General features: G+C 44.0%; 2 protein-coding genes and 1 pseudogene across 6 annotated transcripts in view, besides 2 other annotated features; all 3 read left to right on the top strand.

Annotated features, from left to right (window-relative positions):
* TMIGD3 (transmembrane and immunoglobulin domain containing 3) overlaps positions 1 to 24,811 on the top strand; it is an 80,615-nt gene that overhangs the window by 54,991 nt on the left and 813 nt on the right. Inside the window, exons 1-5 of one of the 3 annotated variants that reach the window (NM_020683.7) lie at positions 5,339 to 5,967; positions 18,210 to 18,316; positions 19,948 to 20,295; positions 22,320 to 22,386; positions 23,132 to 23,232. In NM_020683.7, coding sequence (NP_065734.5) covers positions 5,618 to 5,967; positions 18,210 to 18,316; positions 19,948 to 20,295; positions 22,320 to 22,386; positions 23,132 to 23,232 — 973 coding nt within the window. In that variant the 5' untranslated portion in view covers positions 5,339 to 5,617. Of the gene's footprint in view, positions 1 to 5,338; positions 5,968 to 18,209; positions 18,317 to 19,947; positions 20,296 to 22,319; positions 22,387 to 23,131; positions 23,233 to 24,811 lie in introns of those variants that run through there. The other 2 variants (NM_001081976.3, NM_001302680.2) reach the window with 2 other exon arrangements.
* Positions 1,166 to 1,245: an enhancer, noted in NCBI's record as "active region_1499". NCBI's record gives its function as "activates an Ori minimal core promoter by ATAC-STARR-seq in GM12878 lymphoblastoid cells {active_cell/tissue: GM12878}" and the evidence as "EXISTENCE:reporter gene assay evidence [ECO:0000049][PMID:35858748]".
* Positions 2,839 to 2,908: an enhancer, noted in NCBI's record as "active region_1498". NCBI's record gives its function as "activates an Ori minimal core promoter by ATAC-STARR-seq in GM12878 lymphoblastoid cells {active_cell/tissue: GM12878}" and the evidence as "EXISTENCE:reporter gene assay evidence [ECO:0000049][PMID:35858748]".
* On the top strand, positions 5,339 to 9,543 carry ADORA3 (adenosine A3 receptor). 3 transcript variants are annotated; one of them, NM_001302679.2, is made up of 2 exons: positions 5,339 to 5,473; positions 8,416 to 9,543. In NM_001302679.2, exon 2 carries the CDS (start codon positions 8,501 to 8,503, stop codon positions 9,020 to 9,022), a length of 522 nt encoding a protein of 173 aa, NP_001289608.1. In that variant the 5' UTR covers positions 5,339 to 5,473; positions 8,416 to 8,500; the 3' UTR covers positions 9,023 to 9,543. The 3 variants fall into 3 exon arrangements, with proteins under 3 accessions (NP_001289608.1, NP_000668.1, NP_001289607.1); NM_000677.4 differs by having other exon boundaries at positions 5,339 to 5,967; NM_001302678.2 differs by having other exon boundaries at positions 5,339 to 5,967; positions 8,352 to 9,543.
* On the top strand, positions 18,549 to 18,655 carry RNU6-792P (RNA, U6 small nuclear 792, pseudogene; annotated as a pseudogene).

Here is a 24,811-nt window from a genome sequence, read left to right as displayed (position 1 = left end):
AGGCGCCCGCCACCACGCCCAGCTAATTTTTGTATTTTTAGTCGAGACGGGGTTTCACCACGTTGGTCACGCTGGTCTAGAACGCCTGACCTCGTGATCCGCCCGCCTCGGCCTCCCAAAGTGCTGAGATTACAGGCATGAGCCACCGCGCCTGGCGGTGTATGATCCTGAGCAGGTCATTCATTCTGATGAGATTGATGATACCTGCCTTGTGGGGTTGTTGAGTTAATTCAGTAAAGTTGATTGTGGGAGGAGCTTTGCACATGACAAAGCAAAACACAAATACTGTGTTTATTGGAACAGTCACAGGTTTGAAAGGCAAAGCTGCTTCTCAACCTTCTGGAGTCAGGAGGACTGAATTTGGTACTGCCCAGGAATATTCTATGGGATTGGATTGACTTCAGGCAGTTGGCTACCTATTCTCGACCCCTTTGCCTTCCCTTGATTCTCACTTCTTTCATTTTCTGCACCATCTGAGGTTGCTGGTTAAGCAGTTTCAAAGGAGCGTTTCAAGTTCTTCCCGTTTTCTTTCTCGGCAGCAGCCTGGGTCCCGAGTGACAACAGAAACGTGCTTCCCTCTGGTGGCCACCATTGAGCATAGCGCCTCAGCTGGGACGCAGGAGTCACTCTTTCAGACACTTGAAGCTGACGCTACCGTGCTAAGTCTCCGGCAGCTGAAACGCTTCCTCACTTTCTGAGTGCCTTGAGTTCAGTTAGCTGAACCCTTCTCTTTCCCCCAGGGCCTGGAGACCTCCTGACACACTCGGTGTGGGTGGGGGGGTCTGGTGGGTGAGGCTGAGCGCCCAGAGCAGCTCCCCTTCGTGGGGCAGGATTTCCTGTTGCTCAGAGTGAAGGAACCTTGACCTCCCTTTCCAGGCCTCACCCTCCCTCCCACCAACACTGGCATGGAGTGAAACTCCTTGTGCTCAGACTACAGCCTGTGAGTCTTGGGCTCCTTGGATTGGCCTCAGTGGCTGGGCCCTGGTTAGAAGGCCCGTGTGGACAGAGGCTCCAGATCAGCCCCCGGCGCGGGAAAGCCCAGCCTGACCCCCGGGGCTTGATGGAGAGGCAGAGCCCGGAGAGTGGTGGGGGAGGGGCCTAGGAAGCGCCACCTTCAGGGCTGACCCTGAGCACTTGTCTTTTCTAAGCCTCAGCTGTCGGCTAGCAAACATGAAGCTCTATAAAAATGTAAGGCTTTGGGGAAGTGGTGATGGGGCCAAGAGGAAGTGAGCAAGCTGATTTTGTGCAACTCTGCAGACAGCCGTGGGGTGGGAGACAGCCTTGGGCAGAAGCCCCACCTTTCGCCTGCCTGACATCCGGTCTTAGCTGCCCGTGGACCAGCTCTAGGGCTCCAGAGGCCTTTTCCCTGGGCTCCTGCTAACACTGCATCTTGCTGTTTTTGTAGGCTGGCAACTGGGGTTTTTTAGGGTTTTCTGAGAAGCTGCAAAGGATCAGATGAATCATCTCTGCTGCCAGCCTCTCAGATTATTAAGCGGAACCCCAAGGGCAAGGTTGCAGCCTTGTGGTTGAGCTGTGCCCAGTGGCATCAGACCCAAGTAGGCCCCAGGCCAGGGTTTGGGACAGGTGAGGCCTTTCCCCTCCAGTCACTCTTCCTGTGATTTAAGCCAATGGTTTCTCCTAGATCTTTGCTTCCCTGATGGAGTTCAGGTTCTTTTAGTAGAATTTTAAAATTTATTTTTAATTAAAAAAAAAATAGAGGTGGGGTCTCAGTATGTTGGCCAGGTTGGTCTTGAGCTCCTGGCCTCAAGCAATCCTCTCACCTCAGCCTCCCAAAGTGCTAAGGTTGCAGGCTGAGCCACCACACCCAGCCTCTTCTAGTAAAATTGAAAACAGCCATGGCCTTTCTTTTAGGTGGGAAATTCTCCTGAACCACAGTTAACTACAGTTAACATATATATATATATATATATACACACACACACACACACACACACACACACATATGTGTGTGTATATATGTATATATATGTATATGTGTGTGTGTGTATATATATATGTGTGTGTATATATATGTGTGTGTGTGTATATATATATATAATATATATATATATATTTTTTGTTTTTAAGAAAAAAATTGTACCTTGATCCAATAAAAATGGTTTCCTTTCTGGCCCAGAGCTCACCTTGGGGCCCCAGCCTTACCAGCGACCTGCTCATGCAGTCATCTCTCTGGTCCTGCCATCTCTTCCTAGCTCAGAGCAGTTGCCAAATCTACATTATACTTGTGCTTTGTGCCCATAGTCTTGGTGGCTACTTTCTTTTTTAGATCTGAGAATACTGATCTCTACTGATTTTGATAGCATGGCAACATCAAACCCAGGGACTCCTTGTACTTTTGAAAGGTTTGTAGAGTTTATTTGCTCATTTACTTACTGAGGGCTGCCATTCGGAACCTGGGCTCCGAAGCAGAAGCCTGGGTTTGAATGCTGGCTTCGCCACTGCCTAGCTTACAACTTTGGGCAAGTTATTTAACCCCGCAGAGTCTCAACTTGCTCAGCATAATGGTAGTATCTATTTCATTCGAGAGCATTGAATGAGTCTGTGAATAGAAGCTGCTTAACACTGAGTAGTTGGTATGATGCAGAGCACTTAAGAGTCCTCGCTGATTTATTGTTTCCTTATATACCCAATGCCTAGTTTATGCCACCTGATTCACTGAAGTGCTTTCCTATTCATTCATCAAAAATGTACTGAGCACCCATGATCTGCCAGGCATCATAGTAGGGGCGAGAAATGCAGAAATGGAAAGTGGTGGTCCCTGTCCTCCAGGAACTTACAGGCTAAGCGGGGAAGTCATATACACACAGCACAGTGTGGTCCCAGAGGAGAGGTGAAGACTGGGAAGTTTTCTTCAAGGTCCTGTTGGGTAACAGTCTTGGAGGAAAAGTATTTGTTTTCTAGATGGACTTGGGGGAGAAGGGCCCTGCAAACCAGACAAAGAGTGTGTGCACAGGGGAGAGGAAGTGAAAGAGAATGACTCTGAGCCACGAGTTGCTCAGTCTGGTGCAGCCAATGGTGTCTGTGCGGACCCAGGTGACAGGAGACTGCAGAGGCTGGGAGACCCATCAGAAGGGTATAAGCCACTCTAAGGAGTCTGGACTTGATCCTAAGGCAATGTGCAGACCAAATGGTTTAGAAGGGGCAGGGGTCATCCTGGGCATGGAGCTCTGGCGTGGTTCCTCTGGTTGCCTGAGGCACCGAGTAGGAGGCTGCAGCATCTCCTACTTGAGATGTGATGAGGCACATGACCAAGAGTGGCTGTGCGCCATGGGCTGTGGGTGCAGCGGTAGGAATGGGCAAATGAAGTGACCTTCTGCCCCAGCCTCTCTGTCCTCTTTCCCAGATTGCCTTTTGGTTTTCAATCTACGGTCAGGTTCCAGGCCAAAATGTTAAGTGACTGTGAAAGTCCTTCTCCTCTGTTCTCAAATCACCCCACCCAGCACTGATGGACCTTGTCTATTCAGAGAACATGAAGGAAGGGCTTCTCTTGTTCACAGAAAAGAAACCCCCATGGTATGTGCAGAGAATTCTGAGGGTAGAATTCCCAGATGGGCAGAGGTGGCTGGGCTGGTGACCCTAAGTGTGTCTCCTGCCTTTATTCTCTCTAGTGGGTTATTCTTTCATGTGGTATCTTGCCTACAGCATGCTGTGTTTGGACACAAACCCCTTTCCTTGGTTTCTCTGACCCAGCTGAGATGGACTGATTCCAAAAGAACTCACCTATGTACTGGGGTAGGGGAGGGAGGGTTTTTTGCAGTATTTAACTAAGGTTCAAAGAGTGCTATATAGTGAGAAAGGCTTCTTTTTTTTTTTTTTTTTTTTTTTTGGCAGAGTGCTGCCTCCTAGAAATTTCTCTTGGTAACTTCCTTCTCTGAAGCACAGATAAAGAAAACAATTACAGTAGAAACATTTATGAGGGACACATTGGAGGCCGATGAAGCTTTTCAAGTTCCAGCAGTGCAGGGATGTGGGCAGAACTGACATTGGAAAATACTAGAATGATGGAAATTCAGTTGGAGAGGACTGCCCTTTTTAATGTCTGGGGAGTCTGCTCAGGGAGAAATGACAAGTCTGGCGGGGACAAGTATGGGATTTGGTAAGACTTGGATCAACTTGGGATACAGGGTGGGGGTCGGGAGTGGAATCAATGAATGATGCCAGAGCAGATCAACTAACAAGAGGACCCTGATGAGCCCCAGGCAGAGGCGTCTCCCTTATGCCCCACTCTGAAGTGTTTGTTAGTAAACACCAGAACGCCATTGTTGTTACTGCTGAATTTTATTTTGGGCTGTACATATTTAGATGCTTAAGGTAAAAATGATAAAGCCCTCAAGCCACTGTGTGGGTTTGGGTCCAAGTGTTCCTTCTTGCTGCCTCTCTAACACGCCTGGTTAAAATAATCCCTTTGGATGGTGCTGAGAAGCACCTGAACCAAGTGGGTCCCCAAATAACAATGGCGTGCAAGTGTCTGGTTCCCAGAAGTTGGTGACTAGGTAAGCAGCTTCAGGGAGAGGGGGCTGATTCCCAGACAGTCGCCTGTTCCTGCGGGGATGGGGCTGAGGCTTGGGGAATGTGGGCAGGAGGATATGCCATTTGATTCTGTTGCACACGTTCTTTTCCCTTCTTTCTGTATGTCTGGTCATTCTGCTATTCTGTCGTTCCTCACATAGGTTGGACATTGGCCGGCTGCCAGCATAAGTGCCAGTGTGATTTTGCTAGGGTGTGAGCTGAGAAAGAGAGGTGGAGGCTAAGCAGGTGTGATGCTTCTCAGAGGTGCTGAGTTTTTGCCCTTCTGAGCAGGGAATCTTTGCTTATCCCTTTGACCAAGGATCTTTGCTGCAAAGGCTGGGTATCGGCTGTGCTCAGCAAAGCGTCAACTCGTGCAAGAACTTAGCAGGAATAGTTCTGGCTAAGGTTAGGAGGCTGCCACCAAAGTCTCTTTTTTGTTCCTCTGCTTCTCCCGTTTGCCTCCTTATCATGAGATCTTTTTGCTAAGCTGGCAGAAAGATTGCATAGTCAGTGCTTCCAGCTCTGCTCCCACCTGATCCTGCACTGTCCTCTGGTCCCTGAATGAATGAACTCTGATACCCAATCTTGTCTCGAGCCTTCTCTATGCCACTCATGGCTCCTCTTCTGCTCTTTCCATCTTTTTGCTGAGAGTTCTGAGCTCTGTACTTCCTCTTGGCCCATCTCACTTCCTGAAACACCCCTGAAGAGGGTTGCTTATCTTGATGGAACTCAAAAAGCCAAAAAGCTGCAGGCAGAGGCGTTGAGGACATCTGTTTGGGGAACTAAGAGCAGCAGCACTTTCAGATTCAGTCCATATAGAGCTGTCCTACAGCATTCTGGAAACTTGAGGATGTGCGGTGCATAAAGGGGCTGGAAGTGACCCACCTGTGATGAGCCCTTTCTAAGGAGAAGGGTTTCCAAGAGATCACCCCACCAGAAAAGGGTAGGAATGAGCAAGTTGGGAATTTTAGACTGTCACTGCACATGGACCTCTGGGAAGACGTCTGGCGAGAGCTAGGCCCACTGGCCCTACAGACGGATCTTGCTGGCTCACCTGTCCCTGTGGAGGTTCCCCTGGGAAGGCAAGATGCCCAACAACAGCACTGCTCTGTCATTGGCCAATGTTACCTACATCACCATGGAAATTTTCATTGGACTCTGCGCCATAGTGGGCAACGTGCTGGTCATCTGCGTGGTCAAGCTGAACCCCAGCCTGCAGACCACCACCTTCTATTTCATTGTCTCTCTAGCCCTGGCTGACATTGCTGTTGGGGTGCTGGTCATGCCTTTGGCCATTGTTGTCAGCCTGGGCATCACAATCCACTTCTACAGCTGCCTTTTTATGACTTGCCTACTGCTTATCTTTACCCACGCCTCCATCATGTCCTTGCTGGCCATCGCTGTGGACCGATACTTGCGGGTCAAGCTTACCGTCAGGTAGCCTGCGGCGTGGGGTGGGCAGCAATTGAGGCAGCTGGGAAATGAGGCTACAAAGCCCAGAGCCCAGACTTTTTGAGTAAAAATGTATCCAAATTGGCCCTTGATGTTGAAAGAGGGCAATAAGTGTCTTTTTGTGATATGGTCTGTGAGGGGGTTAGCAACAATGGGCTGGGACTCAGGAGCTAGAATCAGAGGAATGCTCCAATCCTTTCTCCACTGACTAGGGGTGGGTGCTCAATCCCTCCAGCTGTAATTACTAATCCTTGGCTAAAAATGATGAAATCTTGATGCATCTTTAATTAGTAAAAAATGCTCTTCAGTTTTAGAAATGATAAAAGCCTACTAGATAAGACTTATTATTTTAGGAGAAGCAGGCAGATAAACATAAGAGGAGATAAACTGATGGTTCTGTTGTTTTGCAAATGTAGGTTATTATTTTATCTTTGCTTCCTATTCTGTGCCTACTTCAATGTTGAGAAAGGGATTCTTGGAATATATATATATTCCAATATATATATATTTATTATAATAAATATATGTATCCTATATATATTCATTATAATAAATATATGTATCCTATATATATTCACTATAATAAATATATGTATCCTATATATATTCATTATAATAAATATATGTATCCTATATATATTCATTATAATAAATATATGTATCCTATATATATTCATTATAATGAATATATATCCTATATATTTATTATAATGAATATATATCCTATATATTTATTATAATAAATATATCCTATATATTCATTATAATAAATATATATCCTATATATTTATTATAATATATATATCCTATATATTTATTATAATAAATATATATCCTATATATTTATTATATTAAATATATATCCTATATATTTATTATATTAAATATATATCTCCTATATATATTTATTATAATATATATATCCTATATATTTATTATATTAAATATATATCCTATATATAATATAATAAATATATATATCCTATATATATGTATATTTTTCCTCCTCCTCCTGAGATGTGAGAGCTTTTTTCGTAAAAATATTCTTCATTACATGTGACCATATGAATAGAACGAACTGCCAAATGGAGAAATCTACTTCCCCGGGTGACCTAAATTGCATTGGTCTCGTGTTTCTCGTCACTTCTCTGGAGGAAAGAGCAGAGTGAGGGAGCTACAAACAAGCTTTAGATGTAGACAGTCTAGGTTCAAATCCCAGATTAGAGATCTGATCTTGAACAAGTTGTTTAACTTTATCTCCTTTGGTTTCCACTCTGTATCACAGTGGTTACGATGCTCGGAACTCAGACTTACCTTGTTTTAGTTTTAGCCCCACCACTTCTAACTTGTAGAAGTTACTTGTTTGTGTTTCACTTTTTAATCTACAAAATGGGGATAATTGCACTATCCTCATAAAATGAAATGCGTTAACATATGTAAAGCTTTTAGAAACATACCTGTCACACAGTCTGTGCTCAATAAATGGTGGCTATCATTACTATTATTTTCACAATTGCCATCAATAAAATTGAGGTTATAATAAAATATCTCCTGTTTGTTGTGAGATTTAATTGAGATAAAAATCTACTGATACTTAACTATATTTGTTTCCTTTTTGTGGTCTGTATAGGCTGCTGTCAGGAAGGACAGTTTAAGGAGCAATGGGGACTCTTACTCTTACTGTCCTTTAAGGTCTCTGAAACACTTCAATACAATTTTGTAACTTCATTGATTCATTTAACTCAAATACCAAGTATGGATGCCCATGAAGATAGAGAAGCAGGAGCAGGCACAGGTAGAGGGGAAGTGTCGGGGAGGCATAGTATAATTTATGAGAATCTGCACAACAGCCAAACAGAACAGTGCCAAGAACAGCAGGCAAGCTTGCTTTGAGAATATCATTTCTCACCAGGCAGACAATCCTAGGAGACTTAGATGAATCTCAGCTCCCAGGAACTGAATAATTCTTAGGCTTACACCTTATTGGGAACAGAAGGAGTAAACTGAGTTCAAGGGGGACTTAAACTGCTGAATTCACCTGTGGATGTTTTTGAGTTAAAAAAAAAAAGAAAAAGAAAAGATAGGTAACAGTTGTATAGCTCTCAGTAAGTGGAGCCCTGAGTGGAGCACGTAAGCACTTGACTCTAGGCAACATCCTCCTTATCCATTCAAGAGTTTTCTTCTTTAGAAAAGTCCCCAGAGAAGTTTCCTGGATTTTTCTCCAATCGTTGTCTGCTCATCTTGTCTTCGTATCCAGTGGAGTTTAGCTGGAATCACCATAGGATATCAATGCTGCCCTCTCTTAGCAGAAGATTGGAGAATTAAGAGAGTATATGCCTTATCTCACCTCTCTCTCTCTCCTTTACCAGCTCCATCTCCCCTACCCTTTAGCAATTACTGCTGTGGACTCACTGACTCTCTTCATTCACACAGATACAAGAGGGTCACCACTCACAGAAGAATATGGCTGGCCCTGGGCCTTTGCTGGCTGGTGTCATTCCTGGTGGGATTGACCCCCATGTTTGGCTGGAACATGAAACTGACCTCAGAGTACCACAGAAATGTCACCTTCCTTTCATGCCAATTTGTTTCCGTCATGAGAATGGACTACATGGTATACTTCAGCTTCCTCACCTGGATTTTCATCCCCCTGGTTGTCATGTGCGCCATCTATCTTGACATCTTTTACATCATTCGGAACAAACTCAGTCTGAACTTATCTAACTCCAAAGAGACAGGTGCATTTTATGGACGGGAGTTCAAGACGGCTAAGTCCTTGTTTCTGGTTCTTTTCTTGTTTGCTCTGTCATGGCTGCCTTTATCTATCATCAACTGCATCATCTACTTTAATGGTGAGGTACCACAGCTTGTGCTGTACATGGGCATCCTGCTGTCCCATGCCAACTCCATGATGAACCCTATCGTCTATGCCTATAAAATAAAGAAGTTCAAGGAAACCTACCTTTTGATCCTCAAAGCTTGTGTGGTCTGCCATCCCTCTGATTCTTTGGACACAAGCATTGAGAAGAATTCTGAGTAGTTATCCATCAGAGATGACTCTGTCTCATTGACCTTCAGATTCCCCATCAACAAACACTTGAGGGCCTGTATGCCTGGGCCAAGGGATTTTTACATCCTTGATTACTTCCACTGAGGTGGGAGCATCTCCAGTGCTCCCCAATTATATCTCCCCCACTCCACTACTCTCTTCCTCCACTTCATTTTTCCCTTGTCCTTTCTCTCTAATTCAGTGTTTTGGAGGCCTGACTTGGGGACAACGTATTATTGATATTATTGTCTGTTTTCCTTCTTCCCAATAGAAGAATAAGTCATGGAGCCTGAAGGGTGCCTAGTTGACTTACTGACAAAAGGCTCCAGTTGGGCTGAACATGTGTGTGGTGGTGACTCATTTCCATACCATTGTGGAATTGAGCAGAGAACCTGCTCTCGGAGGATGCCTAGGAGATGTTGGGAACAGAAAAAATAAACTGAGTTTAAGGGGGACTTAAACTGCTGAATTCACCTGTGGATGTTTTTGAGTAAATAAAAGCTAATAGCTAACTGGAGTGTAGCTCTTTGCTGGGGTAACTTGGGGCTTAAAGACCCAGCTGGCTGTCTTTGGCACTAAGCTTGCTTGCTACTTGGAGCCATGTGTTGGCATACTCACCTTCTTACTCTTAGCCCCAGAACACCCTGATCCTTATTCCTGGGTTCATCAGAGCATTTGTCAGCTTTATGAACCATTCATCTATTGTGAGAGAAAGAATCCTATTCATTTCCCCTGGTGTTTCATTCTCATAGGAGTAGTGGGGGTAGGGCAAAAAGAGACAATGGATAGCTATTATTTGTTGAGCCCTTTTCTTTTCTTTTGTTTCTTTCTTTTTTTTCTTTTTTTTTTTGAGACAAGGTCTCGTTCTGTCACCTAGGCTGGAGTGTAGTGGCTCGATCGCAGATCATTGCAGCCTCAACATCCCTGGCTCAAGGGATCCTCCCACCTCAGCCTCCCAAGTGACTGGGACCAGGTACATGCCATCAAGCCCAGCTAATTTGTTTATTTTTATTTTTTATATAGACAAGGTCTCTTTATGTTACTCAGGCTGGTCTTGAACTCCTGGGCTCAAGTGATCCTCCTGCCTTGGCCTTGCCAAAGTGTTGGGATTACAGGTGTGAACCATTGCACCTGGCCTGTTGAGCACTCTATATACACTAAGTACTTTGCATGCATTATCTCCTTTGATCCTGACAATCTGTGAGGTAGGTACCACTATAATGATCATCTCCATTTTGCAGAAGAAAAAACTGAGGCACAGGGAAGTTAAGTAACTTGTCCATAGTTTCATGATTAACAAATAATAGAGCCAGAATTTAAGCTTAACCCTGCCTTACAGGAGAACTCAAGCTTCTTGCCACCTATTCTCAGACATAAAGAGGAACTTGTAACATTAAAGCCCAAACTTTCAAGCTCATATTATGTACAATTAACAGATAGGCACAAACTACAGCTTTGTACGCTTGAGGACTTCCAGATTTTTGCCTTAGCTACTATTGCTGATCTCTAATTAATCAGGATACTAGACAGGATAGAGTGCCAGTCACATCTTCTGAGCACTGAATGTGGCTCTAGAGATTCAAGGTGTCATCTCTGGTTTGATCTATCCAAATTTGCTGCTGTGAACTCTCACTTTCAAGAAAATATTTTAGCTAGACAAGAGCAACAAGATGGAGATTTCAATTAAACAACATCAAAGTGGGTAAGCGTATCTGAAAATGAGATTAATTCTTAGCCAGTCCTGAAGGTTTATCCTGAACCTACTTTTAGGCCAGAGCCTGATAACCAAATTTATCTTGTTAACATTTCATTTCAGCAAAGGAGCTTTGCTTCTCCTCCTGTCAGCCCAGGAATCAAGAATTCTAGGTGTTTCCCCTCTAATTTGTGGTATTTAAAAGGCACTTCCAGGATGAGGCCCTAGGTTTATTCTAGGGCTTTGGGTGTCTCAGGCACACTGTTCACCTTGGAACAACTTTTGCCCCATTGGAGAAATGAGAGGAAGGGTCCTGCTGCCCTCAGTCTCCTGGTAATCCCCGCACCATGCTTCTTAATTTACAAACAGCTTCTAACGTAGATACACTACGTTGTACACTACGTTGCCATAGAAACACTTAACACTGCCCTGTTTTTTAAAACTTGATTTAAATGGACCACTTCCCTCAAGACAAAACAGCGTTCTGTCCTGAGTCATTTGGTATCCTTAGCTTCTGAGTTTCAGAACTGCTTTTACTTTTTTCTTTTCTTCCCTCTTCCTCCTCCTCCTTTCTGTCTCTCTCTCTCTCTTTTTTTCTTTTCCTGATTGCCACAGCTTAGCAAGTCCACTGATGGCTTGCTGGGAGTTGTGTTTTTTATCTTTGTCTAACGGGAATCTCCTGACTTAAGGTGTTCCATAAGCCCAGGAGTCCGTACAGTGAAAATAAATGTCTTTCGAAGTAAACTCAAAAAAGATGAATGAAGAATCACTGGTGAGGAGCTTGGTTAGAAGGGACAAGATCCACTCTGGTTTCAGGTTTAGAGATTAGTGTTACAGGAGCCGGGTGCAGTGGCTCATGCCTGTAATCCCAGCACTTTGGGAGGCCGAGGTGGGCGGATCACGAGGTCAGGAGATCGAGACCATCCTGGCTAAAACAGTGAAACCCCGTCTCTACTAAAAATACAAAAAATTAGCCGGGCGTGGTGGCGGGCAGCTGTAGTCCCAGCTACTCGGGAGGCTGAGGCAGGAGAATGGTGTGAACCCGGGAGGCGGAGCTTGCAGTGAGCCGAGATCGTGCCACTGCACTCCAGCCTGGGCGACAGAACGACACTCCGTCTCAAAAACAAAAAAGAGAGATTAGTGTCACAGGAATCTCCTGGGAACCCCTCTTCTGGCTTGCTCTCTCAGCTAAATGGTAAAGAATAACTGCGGGCTTTTATTCTAAAGGAATAAGATTAAAAAGGCCACCCAGACAAAACTGAGGTTTGCTTCCTCCCTTTCCTCCATATGAATAAGCTGGAACTAGGGTGGATGTTGAGCAACTGGGTTTATTTGCCTTATTTTAAAAATCAAGACAACTGGGGAAAAAAGTAGAGACCCATCTAATGAGAAGAAGCAAAGACTTTTTATTCTGAGCTTGCTATAGCAAGGAGGTCAGCTGTAGTCACTTGCATTTTGGCAGAGACTCAAAGGTAGGCAGAAGAGTGGGAAACATTTATAGTAGCATAAAAACACGAACTTAAGCACATTAAAATTTTAATGAGTTTATTTGAGCATTCAATGATTCATGAATTGGGCAGCACCAGACTACAAGTGGTTCAGTGCTCCACCAAAGGAGGTGAGAGAGGAAACTTTCATGAGGTATTTGTGAAAGTAAGACAAAGAAAATATATTTTATTGGTTAAAGTGGAAAATCCCTAGTTTGAGGTTAGTTTGGTGGTTTCTGATAGGTTAAGCTTAAGTTTTGTTTTACTGTTTGCACTGAGTTGGGTTTCAGTTTGCTTTATGTAGGAATCCAAGGCACCAGAGCCATCTTCGACTAATGGCCGTCCGATTAATTTTTTTCATCAGTGAAAAAAGGGAAAGGCTTTAGGTGTGCCTTGATTGGAGGCTGTTGGCTTGGGGAAGCTGTAGGCAGGGTAACTAGAAGTGGGGCAGCCTATTTGATTAACTGGGGGCACACATTTGGCTTTCTTGGTTGATCCTAAGTTGAAACTGGAGACAAAAATTAGGAGAGTTTTCAGTTATTAATCAAGTCCTGGCTATTTTTTAATGTCTCTTTTTAAAAATTTTAATTTTTTATGTTTTAAACTTTTATTTTAGGTTCAGGGATACCTGTGCAGGTTTGCCATATAGGTAATTTCATAGGTTTGTTGTATAGATTATTTCATCACCCTGGTTCTAAGCCTAGTACCCAACAATTATTTTTTTCTGCTCCTCTACCTTCTCCCACACTCCATCCTCAAGTAAGCCCCTGTGTCTGTTGTTTCCCTCTTTTTCTCCATGTTTTATCATTATTTAGCTCTCACTTATAAGGGAGGACATGCAATATTTGTTTTTTTGTTACTGCATTAGTTTACTAAGGATAATGGCCTCCAGCTCCATCTATGTTCCTGCAAAGGACATGATCTTGTTCTTTTTCATGGTCACATAGTAGTCCATCGTGTCTATGTACCACTTTTTAAAAATCCAGTCTGCCATTGATGGGCATTTAGGTTGATTCCATGTCTTTGCTATTGTGAACATACACATGTATGTGTCATTATGATAGAACAATTTATATTTCTTTGGGTATATACCCAGTAATGGGATTGCTGGGTTGAATGATAGTTCTGTTTTTAGCTCTTTGAGGAATTGCCATACTGCTTTCCACAAATTAGTTATACATGAATTGAACTAATTTTATTTAGTAATTGGTTCAATTAGTATACTAGTTGAACTAATTTACACTCCCACCAACAGCGTATAAGTGTTCTCTTTTCTCTGCAGCTTCACTGGTATCTCTTATTTTTTGACGTTCTCATAATAGCCATTCTGACTGGTGTGAGATGGTATCTCATTTTGATTTTGATTTGCATTTCTCTAATGATCAGTGATATTGAGCTTTTCTTCACATGCTGTTTGGCCACATGTATGTCTTCTTTTGAAAAGTGTTCATGTCCTTTGTCTACCTTTTAATGGGCTGTTTGTTTTTTTCTTGTAAATTTGTTTAAGTTCCTTATAGATGCTGGATATTAGACCTTTGTCAGATGAATAGTTCGCAAATACTTTTCCCATAATATCTTTTGCTGTGCAGAGAAGCTCTTCAGTTTAATTGGATCCCATTTGTCAATTTTTGCTTTTGTTGTGGTGGCTTTTGGCCATTTCATCATGAAATCTTTGCCAGTTCCTATGTCCAGAATGGTATTGGCTAGTTTGCCTTCCAGGGTTTTTATAGTTTTGAGTTTTACATTTAAATCTTTAATCCATCTGAGTTGATTTTTGTATATGGTATAAGGAAGGGGTCCAGTTTCAATCTTCTGCATATGGCTAGCCAGTTATCCTAGCACCATTTATTGAATAGGGAGTCTTTTCCCCACTGCTTGTTTTGTCAGTTTTGTCAAGGATCAGATGGTTGTAGGTGTGTAGCTTTACTTGTGGGTTCTCCATTCTATTCCATTGGTCTATGTGTCTGTTTTTGTACCAGTACCATGCTGTTTTGGTTACTATAGTCCTGTAGCATAGTTTGAAGTTGAGTAATGTCATATCCTCCAGCTTGGTTCTTTTTGCTTAGGATTGCCTTAGCTATTTGGGCTCTTTTTTGATTCCATATCAATTTCATTGGTAGTTTGATAGGAATCACATTGAATCTGTAAATTGCTTTGGTCAATATGGCCATTTTAATGATATTGATTCTTCCTATCTATGAGCATGGAATGTTCTTCTGTGTTTTGTAATTCTCATTATAGAGATCTTTCACCTCCCTGGTAAGCTGTATTCCTAGGTATTTTATTCTTTTGTGGCAATTGTGAATGGGATTGCATTCCTGATTTGGCTCTCAGCCTGGCTGTTCTTGGTTTATAGGAATGCTAGTGATTTTTACACATTGATTTTGTTTTCTGAAACTTTGCTAAAGTTGTTTATCAGCTGAAGGAGCTTTTGGGCTGAGACTATGGGGTTTTCTTGATATAGCATCATGTCATCCAGAAACATGGATAGTTTGACTTCTCTTCCTATTTAGATGCCCTTTATTTATGTCTCTTGCCTGACTGCTTTGAGTCCTGGCCATTTTGGGTTGATTGTTAAAGGGGCCATTGTTTGGCTTTCTGGCTTAAGATAGCAATCCGACTTCCTATAAGTCTGACTTACAGCAGGCTGGCTTACTATTTATTGATTAGCAGTTGGTTTCCTGAGCAGGTTGCTGCAGGTTGCAGGTCAGGATTCTATTTTCATGTATGGTGTGGCCATAGTCCACTTGTATATTCAGTTTCTTTTAACCAAATGCACATTTTCTAGAGAAACTCTGCTCTTAGCTACTATAGCTGAGTATGATGGGAATAAGAACACTTGGGCTGCATCTTGCTCCAACTACTCAGATGACAGATATCTTTAAAGACCCTTTGTAAATTCTAATATGCTCTACAGTTTTACAGTATTATAACTATTGGGAAAGCAGCACAATGTTTGTTTTCCTCCCAGATTTACCATCAAATCATAGTGGCTCTACTAGCTGTGTGAATGTGGGCAAGCGACTTAAGCTTCTGAGCCTCAATTTTCTTCATTTGTAAGATCAGATTAATAATACCTGTGTTGAAGTTGTTTTTGTTTTTTGATTTTTACTTTTTCTTATGGAAAACTTCATACATACAAAAGTAGAGTGACTATGTCTTAGTCTGTGTTGCTATAAGAGAATACCTGAGGGCAGGTAATTTATGAAGAAAAGAGGTTTATTTGGCTCACAATTCTACAGGCTGTATAAGAAGCATGGTGCTGGGACCTGTTTGGCTTCTGGTGTGGGCCTCATGCTGCTTCCACCCATGGTGGAAGGCAAAGAGGAGCCAGTGGGCAGAGATCACATGATGAACGCAAGGGAAGCAGGGTGGGGGGAGGTGCCAGACTCTCTGAAACAATCAGCTCTCATGGGAACTAATAGATTGAGAACTCACTCATTACCATGATGACAATGATGGCACCAAGACATTCATGAGGGATCCACCCCCATGACCTAAACACTTCCCACGAGACCCCACCTCCAACATAGGGGATCAAATTTCAGCATGAGGTTTGGAGGGTCAAATATGCAAACTATAGCAGACTAGAAGAACGACCCCTTATTTATCTATTATCCTGTTTGGTAGTTATCAAATTATGGCCAATCTTATTTCATTTGTGCCTGTATCCACTTACCCTGCCTGACTATCTTGAAATTTTAGATATTAAGTTATTTCATCTACAAACTTTTCATTTTCTATTTCTAAAAGATGTTTTAAAAATTATTTGGCTTATTCTTATTGCCTATTTACCTTCCTATTTATACATCTAAATAGAATGAAAGTTAATTCTATGGAATTAATACACCAAGTAATATTCAGAATACTAGTAGACACATCATTCATTCTCTGTAGCTCTGGCACTTTCATTTACTTTAGAGATACTTTTTTTTTTTTTTTTTTTTGAGACAGCATCTCACTCTGTTGCCCCGGCTAAAGTACAGTGGCGTGATCTCGGCTTACTGCAACCTCCGCCTCCCGGGTTCAAGCGATTCTCCTGCCTCAGCCTCCTGAGTAGCTGGGACTACAGGCACGCACCACCACGCCTGGCTAATTTTTGTATTTATAGTAGAGATGGGGTTTCACCATATTGGCCAGGCTGGTCTCGAACTCCTGACCTCGTCATCCGCCCACCTCAGCCTCCCAAAGTGCTGGGATTACAGGCGTGAGCCACCGTGCCTGGCTAGAGACACTTTTTCATGTCTTGGGCATTTTGCTGATATCTGTGCACAATCCATTTCTCTTTTTGCTGCTTTCTTTGGTTTCATGTTGCCATCTCTGAGCAATGCTGAGTGTGTTTGTTTTGCATGAAGTATTGTCAGAGATAAGGACTGCCTCTTAAAAATATAACAACAATATTTGCATTAATTATTCATTGCTGTGCAACAAATTACACCCGAAACTTAGAGGCTTGAAATAGCAATCCTTTATCATCTCTTATGGTTTCTAAGGGGCAGAAATTCAGGGGGCATTTTGGTTGGGTGGTTAATGCATGGTGTCTCATGAGGGTGCTAGGTCTGCAGTTCTCTGAAGGCTTGACAGTGGCTGGAGGATCCACTTCTGAGATGACTGTCACATGTCTGGTGAATTGGTTTTTCCATATGGGCCCCTCTGTAGCCTACTCAAGAGCTTGGTGGCTGACTTTCCCAAGAGGGAGCAGCATGAGAGACTAGGGTGGAAGTTGCACGCCTTTTATGACCTAGCCTCTGAAATCACATGCCATCACTTCTGCCATATTTTATTGATCACACAGGCCAGTCCTGATTCAGTGTGGGAGGGGACTACATAAGGGCATGAATTCCAGGAGCCATCGTGAAGGTTGGCTATGGCAATGCCATTATCACATCTCAAAAAATAAATTGAATAATTATATCCTAATAGTATCACTGTCCATATATTCTAAATTGTTTGCTTCAATCAGGATCCAAATAAGTTCCACATATTATAATTTGTCATATGTCTCTTAAGTCCCTTTTGATTCATAGATTCTCCTTTCCTTGCTTCCTTTTTTATTCATGTAATTTGTTTGTGAAACTCATAGAGGTTTTTGATGAGGAGCAACTGAGGTGATGTAGATAAAAACCTACCATCATGAAGGCTTGCTGCTTGCCCACATGCTGACTTCACATGAATTAGAGACAGGCTCCCCTTCCTCCAGAGAGGACATTATTGCATAACCTGGACAATCTATGTATGACCCTTGATGGGATGTGCTGGCTCTGGGATGTGATAAGTAGCACCCAGCTTAACTTCACCTGAGAGGTGATTCAATAATTCCAACTTTTAAAGCCAGTGGTCAGAGCACATGAGTCCCATTAGAATCAGGAGAAGCTGCTGCTGCATAGATGAATCTCCTTGCTTTGTCCCAGCTCTTCTCAGGAAAGCTTTCAGGAAGTCTGAAGACCGCAGCCCAAACTGCGGCCACCCACACTTCCACCTGCTCACGTGTTCCAGGTCCCAGGCACGCAGGCTACTGACAGCTGGCATGCGCCACCCGTGGCCGTACTCCCCAGATGAGCCTGCAGTGTCCACTTGGGAGCTGGGTTAGTTAGAAATCTGATTACTAGGATTCCTCTCAACTGTATAAGAAATTGGGCCTCCAAGATTGGTAGACAGACAAAAGGAGTGGCCTCTGATGATGCCAGGACCATTGGCAGCAGGACAGGGCATAGTAGAGCACATACAAATGTGTACCAGTGATGGCTGTGTGCATGTGCTTTTCTGAGTGTGGGCCAGAGCCCATTTACGCAGGAGGGAGATCTCTACTGCCCAGAATTTTCTTGGTTGCCCCGTCAGTAAGTTTATGTCTATGAAGAGCATGTGGTATGGTGCATTGTGCAGTGTATCTATACATGGCAGCACTGCTTGGACTAACTGGTTGTTTCCCTTTTCACTGGTCTCTTCAAACCAGGATAAAGCCATATTAAGCTCAAGCATATCTGTTTCCCTTAAACAGATTCAGAATTCCTGGGCTCCCTGGGTGCATTCTATCATTCCAGTTGAAAGTTTGCTTCCTTCCAGTCATGTGGCTCTTCATTCTACTCTCCTTGGCTCTCATTTCAGGTAGGATGGGGGACGGAACAGCTCCAGCCCTTTAAGCTGTGGCCTTTCCAGAGACTTTGCACTGAAGTCCTCACCTACTTGGAGTCCTTGCTTATTAACTCGAACCATCTAAGGAGTGGGATGGGAAAATAAAAGGCGATGAAAATAGGTCTTGTCCATATTAGTTCTTGTTCTTAGCTCAGATAAGAGAGTTTGTGAGGAAATTGAAAAGCTTGACTAAAATGATGACTCTGCACTCACTTTGGCAGCACATATACTGAAATTAGAATGATACAGAGTAGATTAGCATGGCCCTTGTGCAAGGATGACATGCAAATTCATTACGCATTCCATATTTTTCCCCAGCATCTCCACTGGAATAAAATAAAACGAGAGCTCTGTATTTTCTTTTAGTTTACCCAGGTTCCCCCTTCCCCCTTCTCCCCTCAAAAATATATGTGCACATATATGAGGACACGACTTTCCCCTTTCCACTTGTGCTTGACCCCAAAGATGAGACTTGGAACACTGGCCTTTTCCCAGCTCTGTCTGACCTTCAGTTGTGTGGCATTTAGAGTTGCTGAACCTTTCTCTGGGTCAGCATTCATACTTATAAACTGAAGATCATGCTATCTTCCTTGTGGGGTTGTTACGAAAACAAAATGTTATAAAGAACCTGAGCCTGCATTTTAGTGGTTTTTGCTATACTTCTGGAAGGCTGAGAGAAGAATGGGCTCTGCTGTCTCATCTCCTCTTCTTGGTCAGACACTTTCCCTGCCATGGTCAAGCTGGACATGGTGTGCGTGACTTCCTCATTGTGCAATATCCTGAGATGATAGAGGTGCCTATGCTGGTCTTGTACGGAGGGAACATGAAGTTCTTATCCCCTAAAGACAGAACATGACTTCCTCTGTTTTCAGCCCTGTGCAGCCAGCAGAAGCCTCCAAACATCACTTTCTTTCTGAGGGTGCTAAGGTAGGGTGGGAGCTAGGGACAGAGGGCCTCCTAACGGTAAGCCTCAGGCTCTTCAAGGCCCTCCGTCAAGCAATGGTAGGAGGCCTCCATATTTCACCCACCCTTAGGCCAGGGAAAAGGACTTCTCCAGAGTTGCTTTATTAGTTTGCTAGGGCTGTGATAACAACAACAGCAACAAAACCACAGTCTGGGAGGCTAAAACAATGGAAATTTATTTCCTTATGTTATGAAGGTGGTAAGTTCAAGATCGAGGCATTTGGCAAGTTTGGTTTCATTCTGAGGCCATCTCTCGGTTTGCAGATGATTGCCTTCTGGCTGTGTCCTCATGGGCCATTCCTCTGTTTGTATTGTCAGTGTCTTAATCTCTCCTTTTTATAAGGACATCAGCTGAATTGAATTAAGGACTACCCCAATGACCCTATGTTAACTTAATTATCTCTTTAAAGGCCTTATATCCAAATACAGTCACATTCTGGGGTCACTGGAGGTTAGGACTGAAACATATGAGTTTTGAAGGGGACATAGTTCAGCCCATAATAGTTGCCAATCAAAAAGAGGCAAAAATCAGCCTCCGATTCTTTAATTAATTATCCTTCAGGAGGGCAGGAGCTGCAATGTTTTGAGAGAACAATGGTGTGTGTGTGTGCACGTGTGCGTGTGTGTGTGTGTTTTCACAGATGCCATGGTCATGGATGAAAAGGTCAAGAGAAGCTTTGTGCTGGACACGGCTTCTGCCATCTGCAACTACAATGCCCACTACAAGAATCACCCCAAATACTGGTGCCGAGGCTATTTCCGTGACTACTGCAACATCATCGCCTTCTCCCCTAACAGCACCAATCATGTGGCCCTGAGGGACACAGGGAACCAGCTCATTGTCACTATGTCCTGCCTGACCAAAGAGGACACGGGCTGGTACTGGTGTGGCATCCAGCGGGACTTTGCCAGGGATGACATGGATTTTACAGAGCTGATTGTAACTGACGACAAAGGAACCCTGGCCAATGACTTTTGGTCTGGGAAAGGTAAGGAGCCTGCCTGGGGTCTGGCTGGATGTAACCCACAGCCATGGGTGTTTGCTGCTAAGAGAGCACTCTCTGAAGCCAGTGAGCCCCAACTCAGACTCCCACTGGGTACTTTGGGCCTGCCTGGCCTCTCTCTTCCTCCGGCAAACATAGGGTGGTCATTAACAGTGCTGGGGAATAGCTGGAAGTTGGGGACAAGGAGGGTGTCTGCGCCCTGGGGCACTTTTAGAACTTCTCTTCCCTTACAGCAATCTGGTTTAAGGACCTTAGAAGAGGCTGACAGGGTCTAATAGATGTGAGATCTTTATGTTGAAAGGCTTTGAAGTTGTTATTAAATGTCTGTGTGAGAATCGCTTGAACCAGGCGGCAGAGGTTGCAGTGAGCCGAGATTGCGCCACTGCACTCCTGCCTGGGCGATAGAGTGAGACTCAGTCTCAAAAAAAAAAAAAGTCTGTGTGCCTTGTCGGTCTAGAATCTTGAAGATTAGATTCTTGAGAGGTGTCTGAGGCTGCAAAAAATGACCCACGTGCCTGGTAACTGTCAACTTAAATAATTTAATAGTATACGGAGGTAGCCAGGTGCGGTGGCTCACTCCTGTAATCCCAGCAGTTTGGGAGGCTGAGGTGGGTGGATTGCTAGAGCCCAGGAGTTTAAGACCAGCCTGGGCAACATGGAGAAAGCCCATCCCTACAAAAAATACAAAAATTAGCTGGATGTGGTGGTGCCTGCCTGTAGTCCCAGCTACTCAGGAGGCTGAGAAGGGAGGATCATCTGAGTCCAGGGAGGTTGAGGCTGCAGTGAGCCGTGATTGCACCACTGCACTTCAGCCTGGATGACAGAATGAGACCCTGTCTCAAAAAATAATAATAATAATTTACAGATATAAATTTCATGGTCCAACTAGTAAGCACCCTATTTTGCTTTTAAGGAATGTGCAGTTTATATTTGGAGACCACAGGGAAGGTGTGGGTGGAACTGGAACCCATAGCAGAAAAGTCGAGTTAACAAATTACAACTCTTGGCTGGAGCTAAGACATAGGATTTCCAGATGTTCACTCAGGTTCCTTCTGTTGAATGATGAAAATCTCCTTTTGCACCAGAAAACCTCTGTCTCTCAGACAGAGGACTTATGGAAGGCGCTAGCCTTTCTTTCTTCCTTTTTTTTTTTCTCTTTCCCCTGTGCCTTCTTGTTGTTTCCATTTCTAGAAAGGATGTCCTTTTCTATCACAGTCCAGAGCACAATGCTGGTAGGAAAACAAACCAGAAGGGCTTAAGGGGTGCCCTTGGAAACCTGTCCCCATGCTAGAAAGAGAGTTTTGCTAACACTTGACTAGCTAGTGATTGATTCAGCAAGCATCCTACGGAATGTAACATCGTTCACACCCACAGTGTTTCTACTTTGTGTTGTTCTGCTTTTACTTAACTGTGCAACTTGACCTGAATCTTAGGCTCAGACAAGAGAACGTTCCCACCTGAACGTACTCCTTAGTTTAAATGAAACACAGACCTCTCCCACGTCTTATCAGAGGGGGTATCGTAGGTGGTCGTGGTGCCACTGCTCCCGTTGGGTTTTGGTGGCTGTCATAAGAAAAACATGGCAATTACATCACGAAATGAGCAGTTCTTTAAGGATAGGATTGGCCCTCTTGTGCCTCTGGCATCCCCTCCTATGGGGAGGAGACCTCAGTTTAGGACTGTAACTATGGGCCACTTCTAGTCTACGTGGGGCCTTTGTTCAAATCTGGAAAAGGGGCCCCTTCCTTCAGGTGCATGGAGTCCAGTGGTAGGGTGCATGGCCTGGCAAGCAGAGTGTGGGCTAAATGTCGGCCCCTGCTTGTCCCCTCAGCCTTGTTCCCTGTGCAGGGCACATTTATACAACTGCGCGTGGTACCTCTGCTTTACTCTGGAGTCAACCAGGGGACTCACTCTCTGGACATAGAATGACAGGCAGAGCTGCAGCTGGGAGGCAGAGGTAGGACCTGGCTATGGGCCTCACCTGACTTAACAAATCCTTTCTGATTCAGACCTATCAGGCAACAAAACCAGAAGCTGCAAGGCTCCCAAAGTTGTCCGCAAGGCTGACCGCTCCAGGTGAGTCATAGTCTTGGCGGATGAATGGGCTTGGGGCGGTGGGGTGGAGGTAGGGGCTGGGGTGGCAGCAGTATGATATGACAGTTGATTTGCACCGACAACTTTTCTACTGCACATTATTTCTCCACCTTAACTATGTATCCTTAATCTGAGTATTTGGTTTCCTCAAAAAAAAAAAAAAAATACAGTTTAGGACTCTTGGTTGCAAGCAGCAAAAAAGCCCTCTAGCTATTTTAATTAAAAGGGGACATTTATCATAAGGAGAGAGAGGTGTTTCAAATGCAGGAGCAGGGATGTGGCCACCCTTGGAAATTGTCAGGAACATCATCACGAATTTACCTCAGTCTCTAATCTGCTTCGAATCTGTGTGTTTCCTTCCTTCTGTCTCTGTATTGCCCTTGTATATTTCTCTTTTTTCCCCTAATAGTCATCCATTTATGGTTCCTAAGTTTATTTCTCCCCCATTCAAGAGACTGGCCAGTCTGAGACTGGATTCTCCTATTCCCAATCCACAGTTAATTTCTGAGGAAGGGGTTCATTGGCCCAGCTTAGTCAGATGCTCAGCAGGTCCCATCGAGGGTGGTCCAAAGGACAGGGTCACTCTAAAGGAATACGGTTCCCAGAAGCTACTGTAACTGGGTTGGGGGGTGGGCAGGGGTGCAAATCCCAGAAAAAGGGATCCAGAGCTGAGAATCAATAGGCAGTTTCTTCCAAGCAACATGAAATCTGCTGTGGTTCCTTCTAGGACGTCCATTCTCATCATTTGCATACTGATCACGGGTTTGGGAATCATCTCTGTAATCAGTCATTTGACCAAAAGGAGGAGAAGTCAAAGGAATAGAAGGGGTAAGTAGCTATTGTTGAGGGAGGGGGTGGGCAAGAATTAGAGAAAATGAAAGAGGTCAAGGAGCAGATTTCAAATGAGTGAATGAGAGCCTCTTCATATTGCCTGGTCACCTGGAGACCAATGCAGCCAGCCATGGGCTGGGGTAGATATCTGCTTGATGGTGACAAGGCATCACGAGAAGTGACAGAGGGAGCACTGGAGCTTTCTTAAGTGGATACATGTGTAGGTCAGGAAGGAAGGAGGTCCTGAGACAACCACACCAGGTTCCCATCTGCAGAGCCACCTACCTCCCCAGCACACAAACTTCGGGCTCCTGTCGAAGGAATGAGCTTCTGGGACCGCTGGGTAAGCAGGTATAGAAGAGTCTCCTTTTTCATATACACAGGATGTTGCCCTGTTGCCCAGGCTTGAGTGCCGAAGTATGATCATAGCTCACTGCAGCCTCATGCTCCTGGCCTCAAGCCATCCTCTCACCTCAGCCTCTCAAGTAGCTGGGCCCACAGGCGCCTGCCACCATGCCTGGCCAATTTTAATTGTTTATTTTTTTAAAGACATTGTCAAGCTCTGTTGCCCAGGCTGGAGTGCAGTTGCTCGATCTCAGCTCACTGCAACCTCCACCTCCCAGGTTCAAGCGATTCTCCTGCCTCAAGCCTGATCTTTAGGTCTCCCCATCCCTAAATAGAGAAGGGACTGTGTGCCCACCTTTCCCTTTAGGGCAGCATCAGAGACATGACTGGTCAGTAAGACAAGGCTGGTCTTACTGTTCAGAGAATCCTCCAGCATGTGGCAAATATGCCAACCTCTGAAGTGTACACAGAGCAGAAAGAACATTGCACAGTTGCCACTGTTTGGCTAATAGTAGTTTTGCATTTTTCTTTTTATGCTCAGAAATCACAGGAACACCTTAGGCAATGAAGAGTCTGTAGGCATAATTAAAAACAGACTGCAACCTCCCTTGGGTATGGAAATGTAGAAGAACAATATTTCAGAAAAAGACAGAAAAACACTCCTAGTAACCCTTGCTAGTGATACACCAGGATCCATAGCCAGAAGAATCTGAAATGCAAAGCAAAGGCTTCAAGGCCTCATACTTTCCCTGGGATATTTTGTTCCTGTGGTCAGAATAGGAGCCCTAAAAAAAGCAAAGTAGTGGCTCCCACAGCATTCTTGACCTTTTGTCCTCTAGCAGCCTTGGGAACTGTGAAGGTGGGGCATGTGGACAAGACAATGGCTTTCTCAGGTCTGCCCAAGACCAGCCCTTCTGGACACAATTGTAGTCTAGGTTTTTGCTAAAACCATTGTCACTTTTTTAAGGTGTGACCTTGGGCAACTTTATACTTTTCTGGGCCTGTTTCCTTTTCTATAAATTGAGGGTCTCATTTTCATACTCCCCAATATTTTTATTCGTTAGTTCAACAAAAAAGGACCATGCTAGCTAGATGCTGGGGATACAAAGATGGGCAAAAGAAATGCCATCTGTGTCCATGGAACTTGTAGAGGGGGAGGAAGACAAACTATCACACATCACACATCAACACCCAAATGTAACATTGCCACCAGGAGTCAGTGCTCTTAAGG

The sequence above is a fragment of the Homo sapiens genome, chromosome 1 (genome assembly GCF_000001405.40).
Source record: "Homo sapiens chromosome 1, GRCh38.p14 Primary Assembly".
Classification (NCBI taxonomy): domain Eukaryota; kingdom Metazoa; phylum Chordata; class Mammalia; order Primates; family Hominidae; genus Homo; species Homo sapiens.
The sequence above is the reverse complement of the archived record's forward strand: the minus strand, read 5'-3'. Positions and strand labels throughout refer to the sequence as shown.

Coding starts and splice junctions, on each gene's coding strand:
- ADORA3 (NM_000677.4), top strand. CDS start 5,618: ATGCCCAACAACAGCACTGCTCTGTCATTGGCCAATGTTACCTACATC. Junction 5,968..8,415: donor CGGGTCAAGCTTACCGTCAG/GTAGCCTGCGGC, acceptor TCATTCACACAG/ATACAAGAGGGTCACCACTC.